The sequence below is a fragment of the Homo sapiens genome, chromosome 9, assembly GCF_000001405.40.
Source record: "Homo sapiens chromosome 9, GRCh38.p14 Primary Assembly".
NCBI lineage: Eukaryota > Metazoa > Chordata > Mammalia > Primates > Hominidae > Homo > Homo sapiens.
The window spans coordinates 36,349,935-36,371,530 of NC_000009.12; the positions used below are offsets into that span (position 1 = coordinate 36,349,935).

Genomic DNA, 21,596 nt, shown 5'->3' on the forward strand with positions numbered 1-21,596 from the left:
CCCCCTCCCGAGTAGCTGGGATTACAGGCACCCGCCACCACGCCTCGCTAATTTTAGTATTTTTATAGAAACGGGGTTTCACCATGTTGGCCAGGCTGGCCTCGAACTCCTGACCTCAGGTGATTTACCCGCCTTGGCCTCCCAAAATGCTGGGATTACAGGGTGAGCCACTGCGCTCAGCCTCCCAACACCATTTCTTAAAGAGGCTATCCTTCCCCCATTGTGTTTTCTTGGGTGCCTTGTCAAAAACTGGTTGACTGTTGTGTTCCTTTCTATTCGCAGTTCCTAAGGTTCAGAACATGCATGGTCTTATAATTTATTGCCTTACCTATTACAACATCTAAATGGGTTTCCTTGTCACCATTTTCTAACCACTCCCATCGATTACTTCACAGTAGTGGCAGAGTTTGGACTCTTCACAAGTACTGATGCCATAAAGCACCAAAAACATTTAGTGGCTCCTTCCTCCTCCACAATATTCAAAATCATGTCCACTCTGTAGCAAGCACTGAAGGACAACCAATTGAGCTTTTCAATCAACTGCCGATTTTCTCCCTTTTATGTTAACCACAGACCATCTGTTGATTCTCAAGAATGTCTAGCCCTTCTCTGCCTAAATCTTAAAGATGAAAAGCTTATACATTATTTAAGATCTAGCTCAAACATTTTGGCTTCCACAAAATCTTTTCAGCATGCCTAATCAAAATTCACTGTTTTCTCATTTGCATTCTCATTGGAATTGTACGTAATTCTAATAGAGCACCAATCTACCTACCTGTTATCATAGCTATGTGGTATTACATATTCAAATATCCTTAAACATGTTAAAACATTTTTATGACATGTTTGTATCTTGAAATCCACAAAGTGTTTACCTAATACATGTTTAGATCAAGCTTGTTGAACACATGGCTTGCATGTGACCCAGGATGGCTCTGAATGTGGCCCAACACAAATTCATAAACTTTCACAAAATGAGATGTATTTTTTGCAAATTTTTAAAAGGTTATTGGCTACTATTAGTATTAGTGTATCTTATGTGTGGCCCAACACAGTAATTCTTCTTCCAATGTGGCCCAGGAAGCCAAAAGATTGGACACCTGTGGTTTAAAGAGTTAAGTAGAATAATACTTTCATGCACACAATATTCCCCAAATTAATTCACAATTCATCTACTAACCTCGTAATTTTCTACTTCTCCATCTTCTACATCTAATTCAAAGCTGAAAGTTGGGCCCACTGCAGGTGGCACTGGAAGCATTGATCTGCAGTGAAAACAATCACACTAGCATTGATATGTTAGTACATTAAATCAATGAACAGGACAGGGAGGACAGAGGCCAGTGCTATAAGGATGAAGAATGGTTAGTGTTAATCTGACAAATTTAACAAAACATATGCAAGAACTGTACAATAAAAACTGCAAATAGATTGCTAGGATAACTTAAAGGTGAATAAACAGAAATATACCACATAAGAAGATTAGAAGACTCAATATCATTCAGATGTCACTTTCTCCTTAAAATAATCTATAAATTCCATGCAATACCTACCAAGATTGCAGCAAGCACTTAAGTAAAAACTCACATGCTGATTTAAAAATTTATAAGGAAATGCAAAAGACCTTAAACTGAAACATTTTAAGACCAAATTGGGAGACATACTATATCTGACATTAAGATAGAAAGATAAATAGAGAAAACGGGGAGAGAGAGGAAGGAAGGAAGGAAAAACTATGACCACAGTGTGGTAACGTAAGCACGTGGCCTTCTGGTATAAAAACTGTATTTCCTAGCATTCCCAGAAAGTAATTATAGACATGTGACTAAGTTCTGGCCAATGTGATACAGAGGCAGGGGTTATACGTGCCACTTCTGGGACATATCCTTGAGAGGAGCAGGTAGGCAGAGGAATCTATTTTTATTTTTGCTAGGTGGAATGTCATATGACTAGAGCCTGAGAGGCCACCTTAGATCTTATACAGGAAGCCATTAACATTGTTCATAGTCACAGGGCTAACGAAATCATCGTTGAGCTGCCTACTTCTAGACTTTATTATGTGAGACAGAAATAAATAATTACTGGCAGGGCGCAGTGGCTCACACCTGTAATCCCAGCACTTTGGGAGGGTAAGATGGGCGGATCACCTGAGGTCAGGAGTTCGTGAGCAGCCTGGCCAACATGGCGAAACCCTGTTTCTACTAAAAGTACAAAAATTAGCTGGGCATGGTGGTCCATGCCTGTAATCCCAGCTACTTGGGAGGCCGAGGCAGGAAAATCGCTGGAACCTGGGAGGCAGAGCTTGCAGTGAGCCGAGCCGAGGTGGTGCCACTGCACTCCAGCACAGACTTAAGAGCGAGACTCCATCTCAAATTAAAAAAAAAAAACAACAAACCTACCCATGGGAATTTCTGTTACAGACCAACTTAATCCAAATAGAGTAGTTCTAAGACATAGAAATAAATAAATTTTTCTCCTTTCTCCCTAAGAAAAACAGCACTAAAAGCTGAATAATCAAGACTGGTGGTAAGTGTTATCAGTTGTAAAAGAGGCAGAAAATCTTAACCTTTTCTGCTTCTTGATCTGTTAAACCTATTTTTTGGCTCACAGATTTCTTCCTTCCCCATTTCTCCTATGTTACTGTTCTTTCTTTCAGCCTTAACTGGCTCCTCCCACCCCACCCTTTAACATTAAGTAAAGACAAATAACTAACACACCAAAAGCTATAGACACAAAGACATTCACAAAGGAAAGAGAATCTCAAGAGTTTCAAAATTCAGAAATCATTAAGATAAGAAAGAACTTACAACACATATGGCAGTAAGCTGGGATGATAAGGGGGAGGTGGTATTGGCTGCTGGGATCGGTATCTACTACGTCCTGTAAGCCTCCGAGGCATAAATGGAGGATAAGGCTGCAAGGGGAAAAATGTTAAGATTTAGAATCACTCTACGTTTACAAATAGCCTGTCAAATAAAGTATCTAATTAAAAAAAGACTTAAACAGTAAAGTTCTTTATTGTTCAAAGTTTTAATATTCCTTAAATACTAACTTATTAATGGATGCAGCAACCATTTTAAACCATACACTCAGGTGTATTTCTAAATATAACTTTCCAACTGAATGCTGTCGAGAATACATATAATTCTAAATATGGTGAATTATACTAAAACATAACTCAGAACAAGTAAGTTGCCAAAGCAAGTAATTAACATAGTACTCTGTGAAAACTTACTACTCCAAAGGACACCTCCTGATGCAAAGGATCATGTGTTAAGAACTGCAAGGGAGCTGATGGAGGTAATGTTGGGGGGTGGGCTGATGGAGGGTAAGTAAAACCTCCTACTGGAAGATGTTCTCCTAAGAGTTCCACTTCATTTTCTATCCTTTGCAGAGGCTGAGGAGGGGGAAAAAAAAACACATATATGTATATATATATATACTTCCTGTGTTTAGATAGATTATGCTTTATAATAATCACAAATTTAAAATCCCAAAATGTCTTTAAGGCCATGCATCTCTTGATATTCACATGAATCTAAAATTCATACAAGTAAACATATAGGCTACAGTAAAATCTTCCTAACTTTGATTTCAACAAGGTTTAAAACATGTTATCAAACATTTCCATTACCCTCTATTTATTTTACTATTTGAACCTTCTCTTAAAATGAGAAGGCAAAAAGTCATCGAATAAGCCAATTATAGCAAAATTAAAATTACTTTTTCAGTCATAGCACCCTGACCTAAAGGATTTTCAGACATTTAACCTTTCACAGATGAAACAAAACAGGATGTGCATTTATAAATCAGAAACAGGGCTAAATGAGATATGGTACAGAGGCATTATGCTGTGCAGAAAGATTATGGGCTTCTGGACATTAGAATCTTGGTACTGTCACCAATCAGCCATGTTAACTTTCAGATAAATTACTTAATCTGAACCTCAGTATTGTCATCTATAAAACCGGCATGCTCAGAGCCTACTTCAAAAGTGTGTAGTTAACACTGGGAAACAAGAGGGAGGCTCTGTCTCAAACAAAAACAAAAACAAAAGCCACAAGAAAACAAAGAACAGTTCATTGAGATATAACTGACATATGATAAAAGGAATTCAACTGAATGGATTTTTGGTATATTAACAGTTATGTAACCATCACCACTATCTAGTTCCAGAACATTTTCATCAGCCCAAAAAGAAACTGTATACCCATTATCAGTCAATCCCCATTTCCCCAAGCCATCAGCTTTCCATTATTTATTTATTTATTTTTTGAGACAGAGTCTTGCTCTTCTTGCCCAGGCTGGAGTGCAGTGGCGCCATCTTGGCTCACTGCAACCTCTGCCTCCTGGGTTCAAGCAATTCTCCTGCCTCAGCCTCCTGAGTAGCTGGGGCTAGGGCGCCCGCCACCACACCTGGCTACTTTTTTGTATTTTTAGTAGACTTTAGTAGAGACAGGGTTTCACCGTGTTAGCCAGGATGGTCTCGATCTCCTGACTTTGTAATCCACCGCGCACGGCCCAGCTTTCCATTTTTATGTATTTACTTATTCTACACGTTTCATGTAAATGGAACCAGTTCATTTAAATAAGCAAGAAGCTATGTCTACCTTCTCTGCTTAACATAATGCTTTCAAGGCTCATCTGTTTCGCAGACTTTATCAATGCTTCACTCCTTTTTATGAGTGAGTATTACATTGCATGGATATACCACTCTTTCGTCACCCATTTATCAGTTGACAGACATTTGGATTGTCCACTCTTTGACTATTAGGAATAGTGCTATTACTACATTTGTGTACACATTTTCATGCTGATGTTTTCAACTGAATTCTCTTAGGCACATTTATTTTTAAATGCTAGTCTGACTTCTTCCCTTAGTTACAGAATAGCAACATGTTATTCAAATATAAGTAAATACTAAGCTTTAATTTGGAAGCCTATGCATGCTTGAGAGAAATCACAATTGCTTACACTATGACAACACTAGTGAAAACAAAGTCTTGATATGGCTATGTGACTGGACCTTTAAAAGAATTCCAAATTTAGATACAAGTGATAGCTAAATTTTGCTTTAGCCTTGAATTCCCAGATACTGGAAGCTGAGAAGGAGAACATCCTGGCACAAATCCTATCCTATTTCCAAGAAAAGATTGTCTTGCAGAAGCAATTCTACCTCTTCTGATGAGCCAAACTTGCGTCATAATTGCTTCTACAGTTTTCAGGACAGCAGCCTCTTTGGTACCCAGCATGGTATAGAAATCCTTAGTAAACAATGGTAAGACTGCTACAATAAACTGTCAAGTTCTTTCCACAGAGCTGAAATCTTCCACTTTAGCCACTTCTATAGGTTATCTCTCCTGTTTCTCCTTAATGTCTGATGGTCTTGATGCTGAACCTGGCCTATCAAAACAACTGGACCTTTTTTCCTGTGCCCTTCTTTGTACTTATATAGTACTTATATCTCCCAGTGTCCCAAAATAATAGGCCTCTCAACTATATCCCAGTCCCAAGACAGAATTAACTATGTTAACAGACTACCTCATCTGCTTTTCATCACAACATAGTGAAAAACCAGGCCTTCAGAAAAAGTAACTCAAGTTCAGAAAGGTTAATTTCCTTGCCTAAATGAATACAAATATTATTCTAACAAGTATTAATAATTTTATAATATTTTCATTTTCCAATTTAGAACCACATAAAAAGAAAAAAACAATACAACTAAAAACTTTTCTTCAGATTTACTTCCTGAAGGACTGCAGATGTAATAGAACACAAATTTAGACAAGTGACATTAAAATAACTAGAAAAATTTAAGAAACCAGAAATTTAAGGTAAACGTTTATACTAATTTGTATATGTTTGGATTCCTTTAATTCAAGAACCAGAAGAATGCCTAAGTTATTACGTTTGTTTGTTTGTTTATTTTGGAGACAGAGTCTCACTCTGTCGCCCAGGCTGGAGTGCAGTGGCATGATCTTGGCTCGCTGCAACCTCTGCCTCCTGGATTCAAGCGATTCTCATGTCTCATCCTCCTGAGTAGCTGGAATTACAGGCACGTGCCACAATGCCCGGCTAATTTTTGTACTTTTAGTAGAGACAGGGTTTCACCATGTTGGCCAGGCTGGTCTTGAACTCCAGACCCTAGGTGATCTGCCTGCCTCGACCTCCCAGGGTGCTGGGATTACAGGAGTGAGTCACTGCACCTGGCCAAGTTACTATGTTTAAGCATGCCATTTAAACATAGTAACTTAGGCATTCGTCTGGTTCTTAAATCCACTAAGGTTATATACCTGGCCTAAACATTCTGAAAAAATTAAAAATTAGTTAAAAACTAAACATTCTGACATAATAGTAGAGATACCTACCGATCGTGATTGCTGTGTTTGGAAAGGGACAAACTGGCCTGGTGGTGGCAAATGAGGAGGATGATGGGGAGAAAGGTGAGGAGGATGTATAAGAAATGGATCACTAGAAATAAGGGGTGGGAATGCAGCATATGGTACTGGTAAGTGCTGAACTGAACATGCCTGAAGCATCTGTAAGAGAAACCATTACAGTTTGGTTAAAAATATCAGAATATATGATTAATTTAAAAGGATAGTGAGATTAAAATCTGTCATTGTCACACCTCTCCCAAAATCATGAAAATGTTTTTAATAGCTTATATTAACAATGAAATACCAGTGTATTTTTTAATCTACTAGTAAAGTAATGGTACTAATAACTATTCTGTATTTTATATAATTTTTATAAATTGGTTGAAATCCTTGAGCCTTTTAACCATCTATGAAAAAGGGTTGGGGCGGGTGTGGGGGGGGCGGGGGGGAAGTGCTGCAAAGAAGAGGAAACTCTCTCTAGTTGGTTTAAGATGTAGCAAACACTACCGGTATTTCAAGAAACTCCCCTTTTCAATCCTGTAGAAATCTTTTTCTTCCTAGGATTTTCATAAGAGCACAACTCTCAACTAATTGCCTTATAATCTCTCAGTATTTTAGTTCCCAAATTTGGTACAATGTTTCTATTACTGAGAAACTAAGCCTGAGTAAATTAATCTGTTAAGTTAGTATTGGTATAAGTGTGCACTTGCTTTAATCTCACATTCAGAGCAACGTATTAAGAGTTACATTTAAATTTTGCTGTGATTTCCTTTGAAGACATTGTTGACCTTAGATACATCATTTAAATACAGCGCCCTCATTTCTGAAAGGAGGCTGAACTGAGATTAAAGATTAAAGGACAAAGCATAAGCTTCAGAGGCAAGAAAAAAAAAGTTAGTGTGAATCTCTACTCTCCTATACTAGCTGTCTCTACGGCACTGAGCAAGTCATATTTAACTTTTCAGATTCAGACACTAGAAAATGGGGGATGATGCTACTTTCATCATAGGTTTCCTATAGTAAGGAATAAGACAAAGCACTCAAAGTGCCCATTAAAACTCAGTAAGTGCTGAGACTCTTAAGTGTTGAACAATAAGGTCTCTGAGACTTAGGCTGACCTTCATTGGCTTTAATTATAAACGGTGTTGACATATGAGAAAACATGGTTTGACCCTCAGGATATCCAAATATATGTATAAGTTAATTAATGTAAAAATATATCCGGTTATAAAGCTAATTTTCTTAAATGGTTACTATAAGGATATTATTGAGATTTTTATTGCAATAAAATTGGCCTTTTTACTTGAAAGTGAAACTACAAAGACAGTCTCTTAAATTTTGTTTGCTTATATAATGCAGTTAGCCCCTCTAAAGAGGGTAAGAGTCGGGAAGTTACAAAACCAAATTCAGGCTGGTGTGCTTAATAGTAATATCTAATGAGAACAAAGATAGAGACTTACTGGAGGAGGCACACTACAGACAGGGAGGTGCTGTCCACTGAAAACCACAGAGCATCCTGGGACCTGCTGTGTACTACAAGCAGGGATGTGCTGGCCTGTGCAGAGTGGAATCCCATGTGGTGCCACTGTTGTTACTGTGTAAGAAACAGGGACTGTTCCTTGATGGAGCTTTAAAGGAAAAAACAAATGAACAAACTTTAGCTGTTTAGATAAAATGTTAACTATTCAAAATCAACATTTGGTCATTTATTGGCTCCTCTCTCAGCTACACGGATTTTCACAATGTACTCTCCAATAGTTTCGACCAGAATATTCATTGTCTTTGTAGGGGAGAGTTGACTATTTCAAGAGTATATACTATTTCCACAAAATTGGGGCTAAACTCCTCCCTCAAATGACTTGAAAAGCCCAGGGAAATAATGGATTACTATATTAACTCTTCTAGCCTGTCCTATAAAGGCAGAATAAAAAGAACTGGAATCATTAAAGCTTGTATCTTCCATTATTTGGTCACATTCAAAACAAATTTTAATTACAACTAGTGAAACAATGTAAAGTATATTTTTAAAAAAATGAAATCTCATTTCCCGCCTAGCCAATCTTATTCCCATCCTACCTGCCACCCAGAGGCAAACGATGCTGATAACATATCCTTCTTCTCTTTCTCCATGAACATATGAAAGCACAATTACATATAAAATGTCACATTTATTTTTGTTTTCTTAACAGAAATGAGATCATACTACCCTGCAACTTTGTTTTTCCATTTAATACTACATTGCAGGTATGTATGCAAGGGAGTTAAAAGTAACTTGTTCTCTTTGGTACTAGCCAGATATTTTAAGAAACACTTGCTTAACACAGTCCTATCATATGGTGTATCAACACATGTTCAAATTGTTTTCAACTCTTTTGCCAATATAAACACAACTGAAAAAATATGATATTAGTTTGGCCAGGCACGGTGGCTCATGCCTGTAATTCCAACACTTTGGGAGGCCGAGGTGGGCAGATCGCTGGAGGTCAGGAGGATGAGGCCAGCCTGGCCAACATGGTGAAAACCCGTCTCTACTAAAAATACAAAAAATTAGCTGGGAGTGGTGGCGGGTGCCTGTAATCCCAGCTACTTGGGAGGCTGAGGCAGGAGAATCACTTGAACCTGGGAGGTGGAAGTTGCAGTGAGCTGAGATCGCGCCATTGCACTCCAGCCTGGGCGACAAGAAAACTAATTTTTTTTTCAATCCTGTCTTATGGGGCTGAAGGAAGACTTAATTTCATCTGAGGCCAAGGCGGAAGCTTTGGCCTCCCAAAGTGCTGGGATTACAGGTGTGAGCCGCTGCACCTGGCCCCATCGATCCTCTAGGTTGTCATAATCATTTGTAATTTTTTTATTTAAGAGGTATATGAATCTATTGCTTGTTGTGTGTAATGAAAATATTTTCCTAGTCTATGTTTTATCTTTTGATGAGATCCTTTATTTAATGGCATATTTTTGTCTTTTGTGATTTTTTTTTTTAAATGTAGCCAGAGTGTAGCTTTGGGGTTTCCTTTACTGATGAGGTTATAAACATATATTCCTGTATTTCCTAATTCTTTAGTTTTTCGTATTCCAAAAGACTTATTTTTGTTTATAAAGTAGGGCTCTAATTTTGCTTGCACATGGACAATTATACTTGCTCCATTTATTAAACCATCTTCTTGCCTCTACAGTGAAATACCATCTTTTTAAAAATTCATTAAGTACGCACACATTCCTGGATTTCATGCTGCTTTAACTACAGTATCTTACTGGAAGAGTTAGCATCTGGTAAGAAATTCTTCTCACCATACATCTTTTCATTTTTTGGCATTGTCACACAGTTATTCTTACGTATAAAATCAATTTTATTCACTTCCAAAACCCATTAGTATTAAGATTGTACTAAATATGTTATTTTACAAAGGACTGAATTTTATATTAAGATTTTTTTTTTTTTTGAGATGGAGTTTCGCCCAGGCTCCAGCCTTGTCGCCCAGGCTGGAGTGCAATGGCACAATCTTGGCTCACTGCAACCACCACCTCCTGGTTTCAAGCAATTCTCCTACCTTAGCCCCGCCCCGAGTAGCTGGGACTACAGGCGTGTGCCACTACACCTGGCTTTTTTTTTTAAATTAGAGACAGGGTTTCACCATTTTGGCCAGTCTGGTCTTGAACTCCTGAACTCAGATGATCTGCCTGCCTCAGCCTCCCAAAGTGTTAGGATTATAGGCGTGAGCCACCGTGCCTGACCTATATTAAGACTTTTTATACCCAGAAACATTATGCCATTACGTTGAATATCACGGTTCTGTCTTTCAAGAAGAAATTAAGTCTTCCTTCAACCCCATAAGACAGGATTGAAAAAAAAAATTAGTTTTCTTCAAAAAGATTATTAAATTTATTTCTCAAAGTTTATTATTAAATTTGTTCCTCAAACTGTGGTTCTGTTATAATGACAAGAGGTTATTTTACTCTATTTGCATGTCAAAGCGGTTAGTGTTAGTACGAAGATAATTTTTATCTATATTATCTTGAATATATCAACCTTACCAACTTTTAAATTCTGGTATTTTTAAAAAACTTAGAATCTCCTTTCCTAGGTATACAACTACAGGATGAGCATCCCTTATCTGAAATGCATGGGACCAGAAGCATTTTGGATTTTTTGGAATTTTAGAAAATCTGCATTATACTTACCAATTTGGCATCTCTAATCCCAAAATCTGAAATCCAAAATGCTTAAAATAAACATTTCCTTTGAGTGTTGAGTCGGTGCTCAAAAAGTTAGATTTTAGAGCATTTCAGATACTCAAATTAGGGGTGTCCAACCTGAATAAGGTTCAACCCAACTATCATCTTTTTGTGTTAGCAAACTAGAACCTTCAAAAATAATGTGTATAAGTACCTATATCCTATATCTGATTTTAATGGAAAAGTATGATGAATTTTACCAATAAAACTATTGATTTCTAATAAACAGCCTTTGTCACAAATACCACCCCCCTACCCCGACCAACTGCACACACATTTTTTTTGAGACAGAGTCTTGATATATTGCCAACAATGGAGTGCAGTGGTGCCATCACGGCTCACCATAGCCTCAATCTCCTGGGGCTCAGGTGATCCTCCCACCACAGCCTCCCAAGTAGCTGGGACTACAAGTGCATGCGACCACACCCAGTTAATTTTTGTATTATTATTTTTGTAGAGACAGGGTTTCACTGTGTTGTCCAGGCTGTTCTCCAACTTTTGAGCTCATGTGATCTGCCCACTTCAGCCTCCCAAAGTGCAGGGATTACAGGCATGAACCACCGCGCTTGGCCAAGTACCATATTTTGCTGAATCCAAGACATCAGATTGTATAGTCATTTTTTCCCCATACTAAGAAAAATACTTCTGTTTTACTGGAGTGCAGTGGCGTGATCTCGGCTCACTGCAACCTCTGCCTCCTGGGATCACACCACTCTCCTACCTCAGCCTCCCGAGTACCTGGGACTACAGGTGCCTGCCACCATGCCCAGCTAATTTTTTCTGTATTTTTTGTATTTTTTAGTAGAGACAGGGTTTCACCGTGTTAGCCAGGATGGTCTCGATCTCCTGACCTCGTGATCCGCCCGCCTCGGCCTCCCAAAGTGCTGGGATTATAGACGTGAGCCACCACGTCTGGCCAGATTGTATAGCCATTTTTTCCCCATACTAAGAAAAATACTTCTGTTTAACTAACATAACGCTTGGTCACTTATAAATTTTATATATTTATTAGAAGCACTTTAAATGAGATCATACAACACTTGAGCATTCAAAAAAGGAAAATATAAGTGAAATAAAGTAGTTAGTTCTGATAGTTCTTCACTTTCAGAGTCTGACTCTGGTGAATCACTTTTAATTTCAGTGTCATTGTCTGGTTTTCCCACAAAAGGTTCAGTGCCATCAAGGGAGTTGGTGATGCAGCGTTTCTTAAAACTATCCATAAAAGAAACAAAAGCTACTTGATGCTAGATTCTTAAGTCAGGGGTGTAATTATATAGAGCTTGTCTACTTTTGACTCCTGCTTGGAGGTTTATGTTAAACTCACCTCCTGCCACACCCCCTAAACACTACCACTTAATCCCTATGGGTTAACTGCAAGACATATGATGCACAGCACAAGCAATGAAGACTGTGTTACAACTACTGCTTGGCTGACACCAAGATTAAGATGCCATCAATTGCGAGAAGCATCCATCCCAAATTCAGAGATGTTAAAATATGGAAATAGTACATTTTAAAATCAATGAATAGGGCCGGGCACAGTGGCTCACGCTTGTAATCCCATCACTTTGGGAGGCTGAGGTGGGTGGATCGCCTGAGGTCAGGAGTTTGAGACCAGCCTGGTCAACACAGTGAAACCCCGTCTCTACTAAAAATACAAACAATTAGCTGGGCGTGGTGGTGGGCACCTATAATCCCAGCTACTCGGGAGGCTGAGGCAGGAGAATGGCTTGAATCCAGGAGGCGGAGGTTGCAGTGAGCCAAGATCGAGCCATTGCACTCCAGCCTAGGCAACAAGAGCAAAACTCCGTCTCGGGGGAGGGGGGAGAAGGAGTTTCATATTTCTTTTCAGAAACTTCATTGTAAAATACTTTGTAAAATACAATCAAAGTACCAAAGTACATAAAGCACGAACATCAAGACTACAAAAAAAAAAAAAAAATCATCAGATGAACACTCATGTAACCATCACGTAGGTCAATAAACAGAACATGGCCAAAATCCCCCAACGACCCCCTCCAAGGACCCTTTCCTGGTCAAAATGATCTCACAGCCACTCTTTGATCCCAGTTATCAAAGGAATCACTATCCTGATTTTTCTGGTAACCATTTTTTTTTTCTTTTGAGACAGAGTCTTGCTCTGTCACCAGGCAATCTTGGCTCACTGCAACCTCCACATCCTGGGTTCAAGCCATTCTCCGGCCTCAGCCTTCCGAGTAGCTGGGACTATAGGCGTGCATCACCACACCCAGCTAATTTTTGTATTTTTAGTACAGATGGGGTTTCACCATGTTGGCCAGGATGGTCTCGATCTCCTGACCTCGTGATCTGTCCGCCTCGGCCTCCCAAAGTGCTGGGATTACAAGCGTGAGGCACCACACCCGGCCCTAATCTGTTTTTCTTTATGGTTGAACCACTGAAGCTTGAACCCCAACCTAGTCTTTTGTTGGTTAAATACCTTTTCGCTGTCTTCACGGTGATTAATTGTTTCAGTCTATGAGACAGGGGTCTTGCTCTATCATCCATCCATCCATCCATCCATCCTTATCTACCTATGTATCTATCTATGAGATGGGGGTCTCACTCTGTCACCCAGGCTGAAGTACAATGGCACAATCACTTGGGCTCGAGGGATCCTCCAGCCTCCGCCTCCTAAGTAGATGGGACTACAGTGGAGCACCACAGTGAGAACTTTTGATGAATACAAACATTTCCAAAAAACAGACATAGAAAGCCACTATAAACAATCCTGTAGAAATTTTTTTGTGTGGACATATGCACTCAATTCTCTTGATTACACTAAGAATGGAATTGCTGGATTACTGGGTAGGTGTATGTTTGACATGATTAGAAACTGACCAACAGGTTTCCAAAAGATCATGCTACTTTTTACTTCCACTAGCAATAGAATTGTCAGTCTTTTTAATTTTGGCCCTCAAAATGTCATGTTTTCATTTGGTCACCCAACTGTCCCAGAACCACTTATTAGCAATTCTGTCTTGTTCCAACTCACCTACATTCATCAAGTCATATGCCATGTATATATACTCATGCGTGGCTTAACGATGGAGATACATTCTGAGAAATGTGTCATTAGGTGATTTCATTGTTGTACTAACATCATAGAGTGTACTTATACAAACCAAGATGGCAGAGAGCCTACTACACACCTAGGCTTATATGTTATAGCCTATTGCCCCTAGGCTACAAACCTGTATAGCATGTTGCTGTTGCTATACGAAACCCTGTAGGTAATTATAACACAAGGGAAGTACAGTTAGCCCTTGAACAACATGAGTTTGAACTGCATGGGTCTACTTATATGCAGATTTTTTTTTTTTTTTTTTTGGAGGTGCAATCTCGCTCACTGCCACCACCTCCTGGGTTCAAGCATTTCTCCTGCCTCAGACTCCCGAGTACCTGGGATAGGCACCCACCACCACGTCTGGCTAACTTTCGTGTTTTTAGTAGAGATGGGGTGTCACCATGTTGGCCAGGCTGGCTCGAACTCTTGACCTCAAGGGATCTGCCCACTTCAGCCTCCCAAAGTGCTAGGATTACAGGCATGAGCCACCGTGCCCTGCCCACATTTCAATAAAAGTTGCATAAAGTGTGCCTGCCTCTCCTCCACCAGAGACAGCAAAACCAACTCCTCCTCCTCTTCCTCAGCCTACCCCACATGAAAACCACAGGGATGAAGACCTTTATGATCAACTTAATGTATTTTATGATTTTTTTAATCACACTTTCTCTAGCTTACATTATAAGAATACAGTATATAATATACTAAATATGTATTAACTATGTTATTGGTCAACATTAGTCTATTAGTTTTTGAGGGAGTCAACCATTATATGTGTATTTTCAACAGTGTAGAGGGTTGGTACCTCTAACCCCTGTATTTGTGTATCTAAACACAAAAAAGATATAGTAAAAATATGGTATTATAAACTTACGAGACCACTGTTGTATATGTGGTCTGTTGGTCAAACGTTATTATGTAGCATATGACCATATTCACAGAAAATGTGTTGGCTTCTAGATTTTATATTCTATTTCATTAGCTTATTTGGCTATGCTGGCATAAATGTCTTTATTACCATAGTTTTATAATAATTCCTAGTAACTGGAGAAGCTACTTTGCCCACCTGTTCTTTCATGACTAGAACAGTGGTTCTCTAATTACAATGTGCATTAGAATCACCTGGAGGGCATGGTAAACTAGATTGCTGAGTCCCACACCCACAGATCCTGATTCAGTAAGTCTAGTGTACAGTCTGCGAATCTGCAGTTCTAACAAATATCTAGGTGATGCTGCTGCTGCTCAGCTGATTCAGCTAATACTCTTGAGAAATAATTGGTCTAGACCTTAAGACCAGGGTGTCAGTGGGCCAATTATTTCTTAAAGAGCTAGAAAGTGAATGTTTTAGGTTTGTGGGCCATGGTCTCTGCACAAAGTAACCAAAGACAATACAGATGAACAAATAGGTGTGGTTGTGTTCCAATAAAACTTTACAGAAACAACTATCAGTAGTTCACTTTCTATGGCTGTAGACAATTTCAGGTCTTTTAAATTGTCACTAAAAATGACAGAATCATCTTCTCAAGTTACACCAAAAATCTACTGAAAATTTATTTGGGATTATACTAATTCTATTATGTGCCGCTTTTAAGAACTAAGAGCCTTAAAAAAAACGGGATCTTTCGAGTCAAATCTCTCATTTAAATAAGTTTTCCTGTGGTCAGGCACAGTGGCTCACACCTGTAATCCCAGCACTTTGGGAGGCTGAGGCAGGCAGAACACCCTTGGCCAGGAGTTTGAGACTAGCCTGGCCAACATGGTGAAACCCCACCTCTACTAAAAATACAAAAAATCAGCCAGGCATGGTGGCAGGTGCCTGTAATCCCAGCTACTCAGGAGGCTGAGGCAGGAGAATCGCTTGAAATGGAAAGGTGGAAGCTGCAGTGAGCCAAGATCTCACCATTGCACTGCACTCCATCCTGGGCAAGAAGAGCGAAACTCTGTCTCAAAAAATAAATAAGTTTTCTTTAAACTCTCTCAATAATGCTTTGGTATTCTACACAGTGGTTTTAAACCACTTTTGTTAAGACTGATAGTTTTTTTTTTTTTTTTTTTTTGAGACGGAGCCTTGCTCTGTGGCCCAGACTGGAGTGCAGTGGTGCAATCTTGGCTCACTGCAACCTCCGCCTCCCGGGTTCAAGCAATTCTCCTGCCTCAGCCTCTCGAACAGCTGGGACTACAGGTGCGCGCCACCATGCCCAGCTAATTTTTGTATTTTTAGTAGAGACGGGGTTTCACCATATTGGCCAGGCTGGTCTCAAACTCCTGACCTTGTGATCCACCCGCCTTCGGCCTCCCAAAGTGCTGGGATTACAGGCACGAGCCACTGTGCCTGGCCAAGACTGATAGTTAACTTCTTTAGTATTACTATGATTTTTTCAGTGGTATTTTTTCTTTGAATTTTTATTACAGAGAATTTCAAATATGTTCAAAAACAGTAGCATAAACCCCCATATCCACCGCCCAGCCCTCAAACCATTAAACCATAGCCAATCCACCTGAATATACTGCTTTGTTTCATGTGTTTTGTTGAAGCAAATCCCAGGACCCTATCATTTAAAAAAAATTTTTAGTATGCATTTCTAAAAAATAAGAACACTTAATTAGCCACAACAGCATTATTATATTTTTAAAGGAAAGTTATTTAAAATCAAACATGCAGTCACGTTCAAAATTCCAATTATGTCATCAAATAAAAATAAATGATTTTATTAGACTTTTTTCCCTTTCCTCTCAAACAGAATCAAAAAAAAGCTTTACATATTGCAACTGATTAGTATGTCTGGGTTGTTCAGTGTTAATGTATCTTTTAAAAAGTTGTTCATGTTCTGTTTGATTCTGGTATTAAAAAAAATACTGATTATTGTATATTCATTTTTTGTAACATTTCAATCTGTTCAATTCTTAGTTCTAACAATTACCTAAGATGCTTCGGGATTTTCTATCAGTATAATCAGTTTGACTGCAAATATTGATGGTGTTACCTGTTCTTTTCCTATTCTTAAACTTTTTTCTTCTTGTCTTTTCTGCTGGCTTGGCCTACTGAATAGATGTGGTAATAGTCAGCATCCTGGTTTATTCCAGGTAGCAGGAAAGTGTTCAAAGTTTCACCTTTAAGCATGTTTGAAGTAGGTGAATTCACTGTAGGTCTGTTTCTATTGGTTTTCAATTATAGCCCTTTTTAAGTCATGTACCGAGTTAACTTTGTTTATTGCTCGCTGTTCTTGAAAAATTATTGGGGGAACTGAGAACCAAAATGAAGGTTCCTTCTTTCAGGGAGAAATTGCCCCTGCTTTCTAGGCCCCTGAGGTACCCATTACTTTAAATGAATTTTCACTAACTTCACAGAGTGATGTGAATTTGGGCTGCAAATTTACTTCTGCTCAGTCTTATCCTAGTGACCAGATATCCCTGTATTCTGGGTATACAGCGACTTAAAGTGTTTGGTATTTTACGCAGGAAGGGTCTCCTATATAGAAAGTGACTCCTTAAATAGTCCTTGATTTTTGTCCCCTTTGCCTCCTGACAGACTCAAAATTGAAGTCCAGGTTTGCTCAAATGAACAAATGCCTTAAGGACAGAACTAGCACCCCACTTTCCCTTAGTTTTGATTTCTTCTATTAGCTCTTTTGATGCTTTCAGGATACTTATTTTATCTAGCACGCTCGGTTGTCCTCAAGCAAAAGGAATGCTATCAATAAGCCTTCCTACCACGTATTGAAAATTAAAGTCCTTCCTTTTTACACTTTAAGACCTTCTAATAAGAAATGATGGCTAGATTTTATATTTCTTGCGCCTATTAATATTTTTCCTTTATATTGTTGATAAAACCAATTATCTTGAAAGATTTCCTAATACTGAACCCATGCAGGACGGGTTCAATATTATGTTATTCTTTTAATACATCACTAGGTATATTAAAATAGGTTATTCCAACAGGTTATTCTTTTTTCTTTTTTTTAATTAAAAAATTGTTCTCATACCTTCTTGCTGAAAACAGCTTATTCTTTTAATACACCACTAGCTATGGTTTATTATTTAAAACTTTTTCATCTGTATTCATGAGGGAAACTAGTCAACAGCTTTCTTTTGTTGTATTCATCTATGAAGTTTCATTGTTAAGGTTGTGTTAGTTTCATAAAATATATTTGGAAGCTATCTTTTTCTATGATCTAGAATAGTTTAAATTCGAATTACCAGTTCTTTAAAGGTTAGACAAGAAGTCAGATGTTTTTATTTTTTTGAGATGGAGTCTCGCTCTGTTGCCCAGGCTGGAGTGCAATGGCACGAGCTTGGCTCACTGCAACCTCCACCTCACAGGTTCAAGCGCTTCTCCTGCTTCAGCCTCCCTAGTAGCTGGGATTACAGGTGCCTGCCATCACGTGCGGCCAATTTTTTGTATTTTTAGTAGAGACGGGGTTTCACCATGTTGGCCAGGCTGGTCTCAAACTCCTGGGCCTCAGGTGATCCGCCTGCTTCAGACTCCCAAAGTGCTGGGATTACAGACGTGGGCCACTGCACCTGGCCTCAGGTGTAATTTTAATTTTAAAGACGGATTTTGTTATGCTTTTATAATTTCTGCCATGGCTACCGGTCTGCTCAGGATTTCTAATTCTTGTGTTGTTCTGGTTATTTACATATGTAATGTTTTCATATTCCAATATACAGACTCAACACGTAACACTACTACATAAATGAGACCTTGCCTTTTCTGAAATGCAGTCTTTTCTTTCTTTGGCTCCATCACTAACCACCACCCCTCCTTCACTTTAGCACTTACCCTACAAGCCTAGTATGTATTTCTCTGTATTTTTCTCTGTGTTCACATAGTCCTATATACATACACTCATATACATATTAATTATGCTTTACAAAATGGGACTTTGTAAACACTTTCCTCCATTTTGCTTTTCTTGCTCAAGGGGATGGGGAGAAGGTACAAAAATTGTGTTTTTCAGTATTTTATATCCATACTTTTATCAGGTTACGGCCACAAATAAGGTAAGCTTTCCTACATGATCAATTTTTAAGTGTTTCATGAACATAATAAAAATGTCTGGCATAAGAAGAGTATCTAGGTAAGATATTTTCTCAATTGTCACTATGTGTTATTGTTTATTATCTAGTGCAGTAGATGAAAATTGAGATCCTATTCTCATTAGCATTCTCTGGTAATTTTTTTTGGTTTATAAACTCACAAGATTTCCCCCTTATCCTTAAAATCCAGCAATTTTTATAAGGACATGCTTAGACACATGTCTTTTTTTTTTTGACCTCAGAAACTCCACAGAAAAGACCACCATAAAATTGTGGTCTTCATCCTCAGGCTCTGAAGATAGGCAACCTCTCTCCTCAGCTGGTCCCTCAGTTCTTGGCAGAAAGAAAAGGGAAATGAAACATTGTAGGCTTGTACCTGTCATCTCCTTGGAGGCCTATGAAAACCTATAAGCAAAGATGTACCCAACTGTCTTGCTTATTGAATTATTCCAGAAGAAACTAGGAAACAGGAATATGTACTCAAACCATCAGTTGTCTGCTATTTCCTACTAATCTTAAATCAATAATTTCAAATCAAGCATACATGAATTCATTCTAAGCTTTCATAACCTTGATCCTTTTTTTTAATTTTTTGAGACGAAGTCTCGTTCTGCCACCCAGTGCAGTGGTGCGATCTTGACTCACTGCAACCTCCACCTCCTGAGTTCAAGTGATTCTTCTGCATCAACTGGGATCATAAACATGTACCACCACATCCAGCTAATTTTCGTACTTTTAGTAGAGACGGGGTTTCACTGTGTTAGGCTTGTCTCGAATGCCTAAGCTCAAGTGATGTGCCTGCCTCAGCCTCCCAAAGTGCTGGGATTACAGGCATGAGCCACCGTGCTGGGCCGATACTAATTTTTTAAGTTCAACTTTCTTCTATGGAAGCTGTGTAGAATTTAAATCTCAATTCTTAAAAGGAATGAGGAACTTAAATAACTTCATTTTAGGTAAAAACTAAAAGAAATTTGCAACAAAAAGCCAAAAAAAAAAAATCTCAAACTGCCACAAAATTTCAGCTTCTGTATTTCCAAGACATTCTGTTATTGTACCTGATCATGTATGTCAACCATGACTGCATTCTGCTGGGGTGGATGAGCAGCAGGATGTAGCAGACGGGGAGATACATTCGGAGGGTGGAAGGCTCGAGGCTCCTCTATTGCTTGCTGCTGTGCGTAAGGGAGATGGTGATAGTTTTCATCTTGACTAATGGAATTATGTCGAGACAGACGATCCCTTCTTCCTCTCTGGCGCCTGACAGGAGGACTGTGATAAATATCAAAAAGAAAGTCATTATGCTTATTGTGATCCATCAGGATTCTGTATTGTCTTTCTTTGATATCTATCAATAGTATATGCTAAGGTAAGCTTCATTATTAAATAACTGCTAAAATTCCCCATCAGCTCTAAAAACTTACAAATTTAAATACAAGGTATATGTTTTATACAATAATGAAAGCAAACAGTATTGGTATTCATCTCTGAAAGTATTTAGAAATCAACAGCTACAATTTTTTCTTGAATCATATGAAATTGCCCTTTTTATAAGTGAAAAATAGTCTAATAGCAACAATTTCATATAATTTAACCTACCATTTTCTCCCTTTTTAAATATTATAATAAAACGAACTTTAATCTGTAGATACCTTGTCAGTGTTCCTCATATACCTAATAGGCACCTTTTTGTCTATTTAGCTAACACATACATAAGACATAGTTCCTATGTGGCCAAAATGACACTTTTAAAAAATGAGAAAACATGAAATAACCAAAGAACATATAATTTGCTGACAACCGCAAATAGAAACTGGGTAAACACGCGATGAATATGATTGAGAATATGATAGTATCAACATAAATATTCCAAGAATATATAAAATTTTTAACTTTTAATTTTTATGGGTGCACACAAGGTATATATACTTACATAGAATTTTAAATTAGAATTTGCTTGTTGGGCCAGGTGCAGTGGCTCATGCCTGTAATCCTAGCACTTTGGGAAGCTGAGGCAGGTGGATCCCTTGAGCCCAGGAGTTCGAGACCAGACTGGGAAACATGGTGAAACCCTGTTTCTACCCCAAAATACAAAAAATTAGCCGGGCGTGGTGGTGTGCACCTATAGTCCCAGCTACCTGGGAGGCTGAAGTGGGAGAATCACCTAAAGCCTGGAAGGCCGAGGCTGTAGTGAGCTGAGATCACGCCACTGCACTCCAGCCTGGGCGACAGAGTGAGACCATGTCTTAAAAAAAAAAGAGAGGGAGAGAATTTGCTTATTGAAGCAACCCACATTTACTCTCCATGTACTAGTCATCGACATAGTTTAATAAAAATTTTATTGTGACTAAACTTTCATTTTGTTCTTCTCTGAAACTGCTTTTTACAATGGCTCAGCACAAAAGCAACTTGAAAAAGTACTCTGCCTCATTAAAACTGTACTCTACATTGGGCAAAGGAGGTCAAACATCTCCCTTCTAGGAAGAACTCCAAGTGTCATTTTAGCAACTTTCTTTATGGTCACTTTTTCCTTAATCTTCCCACTCTGTTCCTCTAAATCTGTTTCTTCTTACTCCTAATTCTCCAATCTTAAGAGAACAAGGGACATTCCTTTATGAGATCAACTCGCAAAGGTGCTCTTGATATTGTCCCTCCAGCTTCTTGCTCCATTAATTGTTTCTTCTAACTTTATTTTTAATACAATCCTTTTTGCATTTTTGCTTCAAACTCTACTTACTGTATTATATTGAATTCAAGACGCCCTCCACCTTAGGACTAAAAGCTTTTTTTTTTTTTTTTTTGAGACGGTGTTTCACTCTTGTCACCCAGGCTGGAGTGCAATGGCACGATCTCTCGGCTCACTGCGACCT

At 38.6% G+C, this 21,596-nt stretch overlaps 1 protein-coding gene across 26 annotated transcripts in view; it reads right to left on the reverse strand.

Moving 5' to 3' along the window:
- The window catches only part of RNF38 (ring finger protein 38), a 151,270-nt gene that overhangs the window by 13,535 nt on the left and 116,139 nt on the right, over nucleotides 1-21,596 (reverse strand). For all 26 annotated transcript variants that reach the window (XM_047422796.1, XM_047422795.1, XM_047422794.1 and 23 more), the window contains 6 exons: nucleotides 19,785-19,998; nucleotides 7,841-8,008; nucleotides 6,369-6,539; nucleotides 3,236-3,397; nucleotides 2,808-2,914; nucleotides 1,181-1,265 (listed from right to left, as the gene is read on the reverse strand). In XM_047422796.1, the coding sequence (XP_047278752.1) occupies nucleotides 1,181-1,265; nucleotides 2,808-2,914; nucleotides 3,236-3,397; nucleotides 6,369-6,539; nucleotides 7,841-8,008; nucleotides 19,785-19,998 (907 nt within the window). The remainder of the gene's footprint in view (nucleotides 1-1,180; nucleotides 1,266-2,807; nucleotides 2,915-3,235; nucleotides 3,398-6,368; nucleotides 6,540-7,840; nucleotides 8,009-19,784; nucleotides 19,999-21,596) is intronic.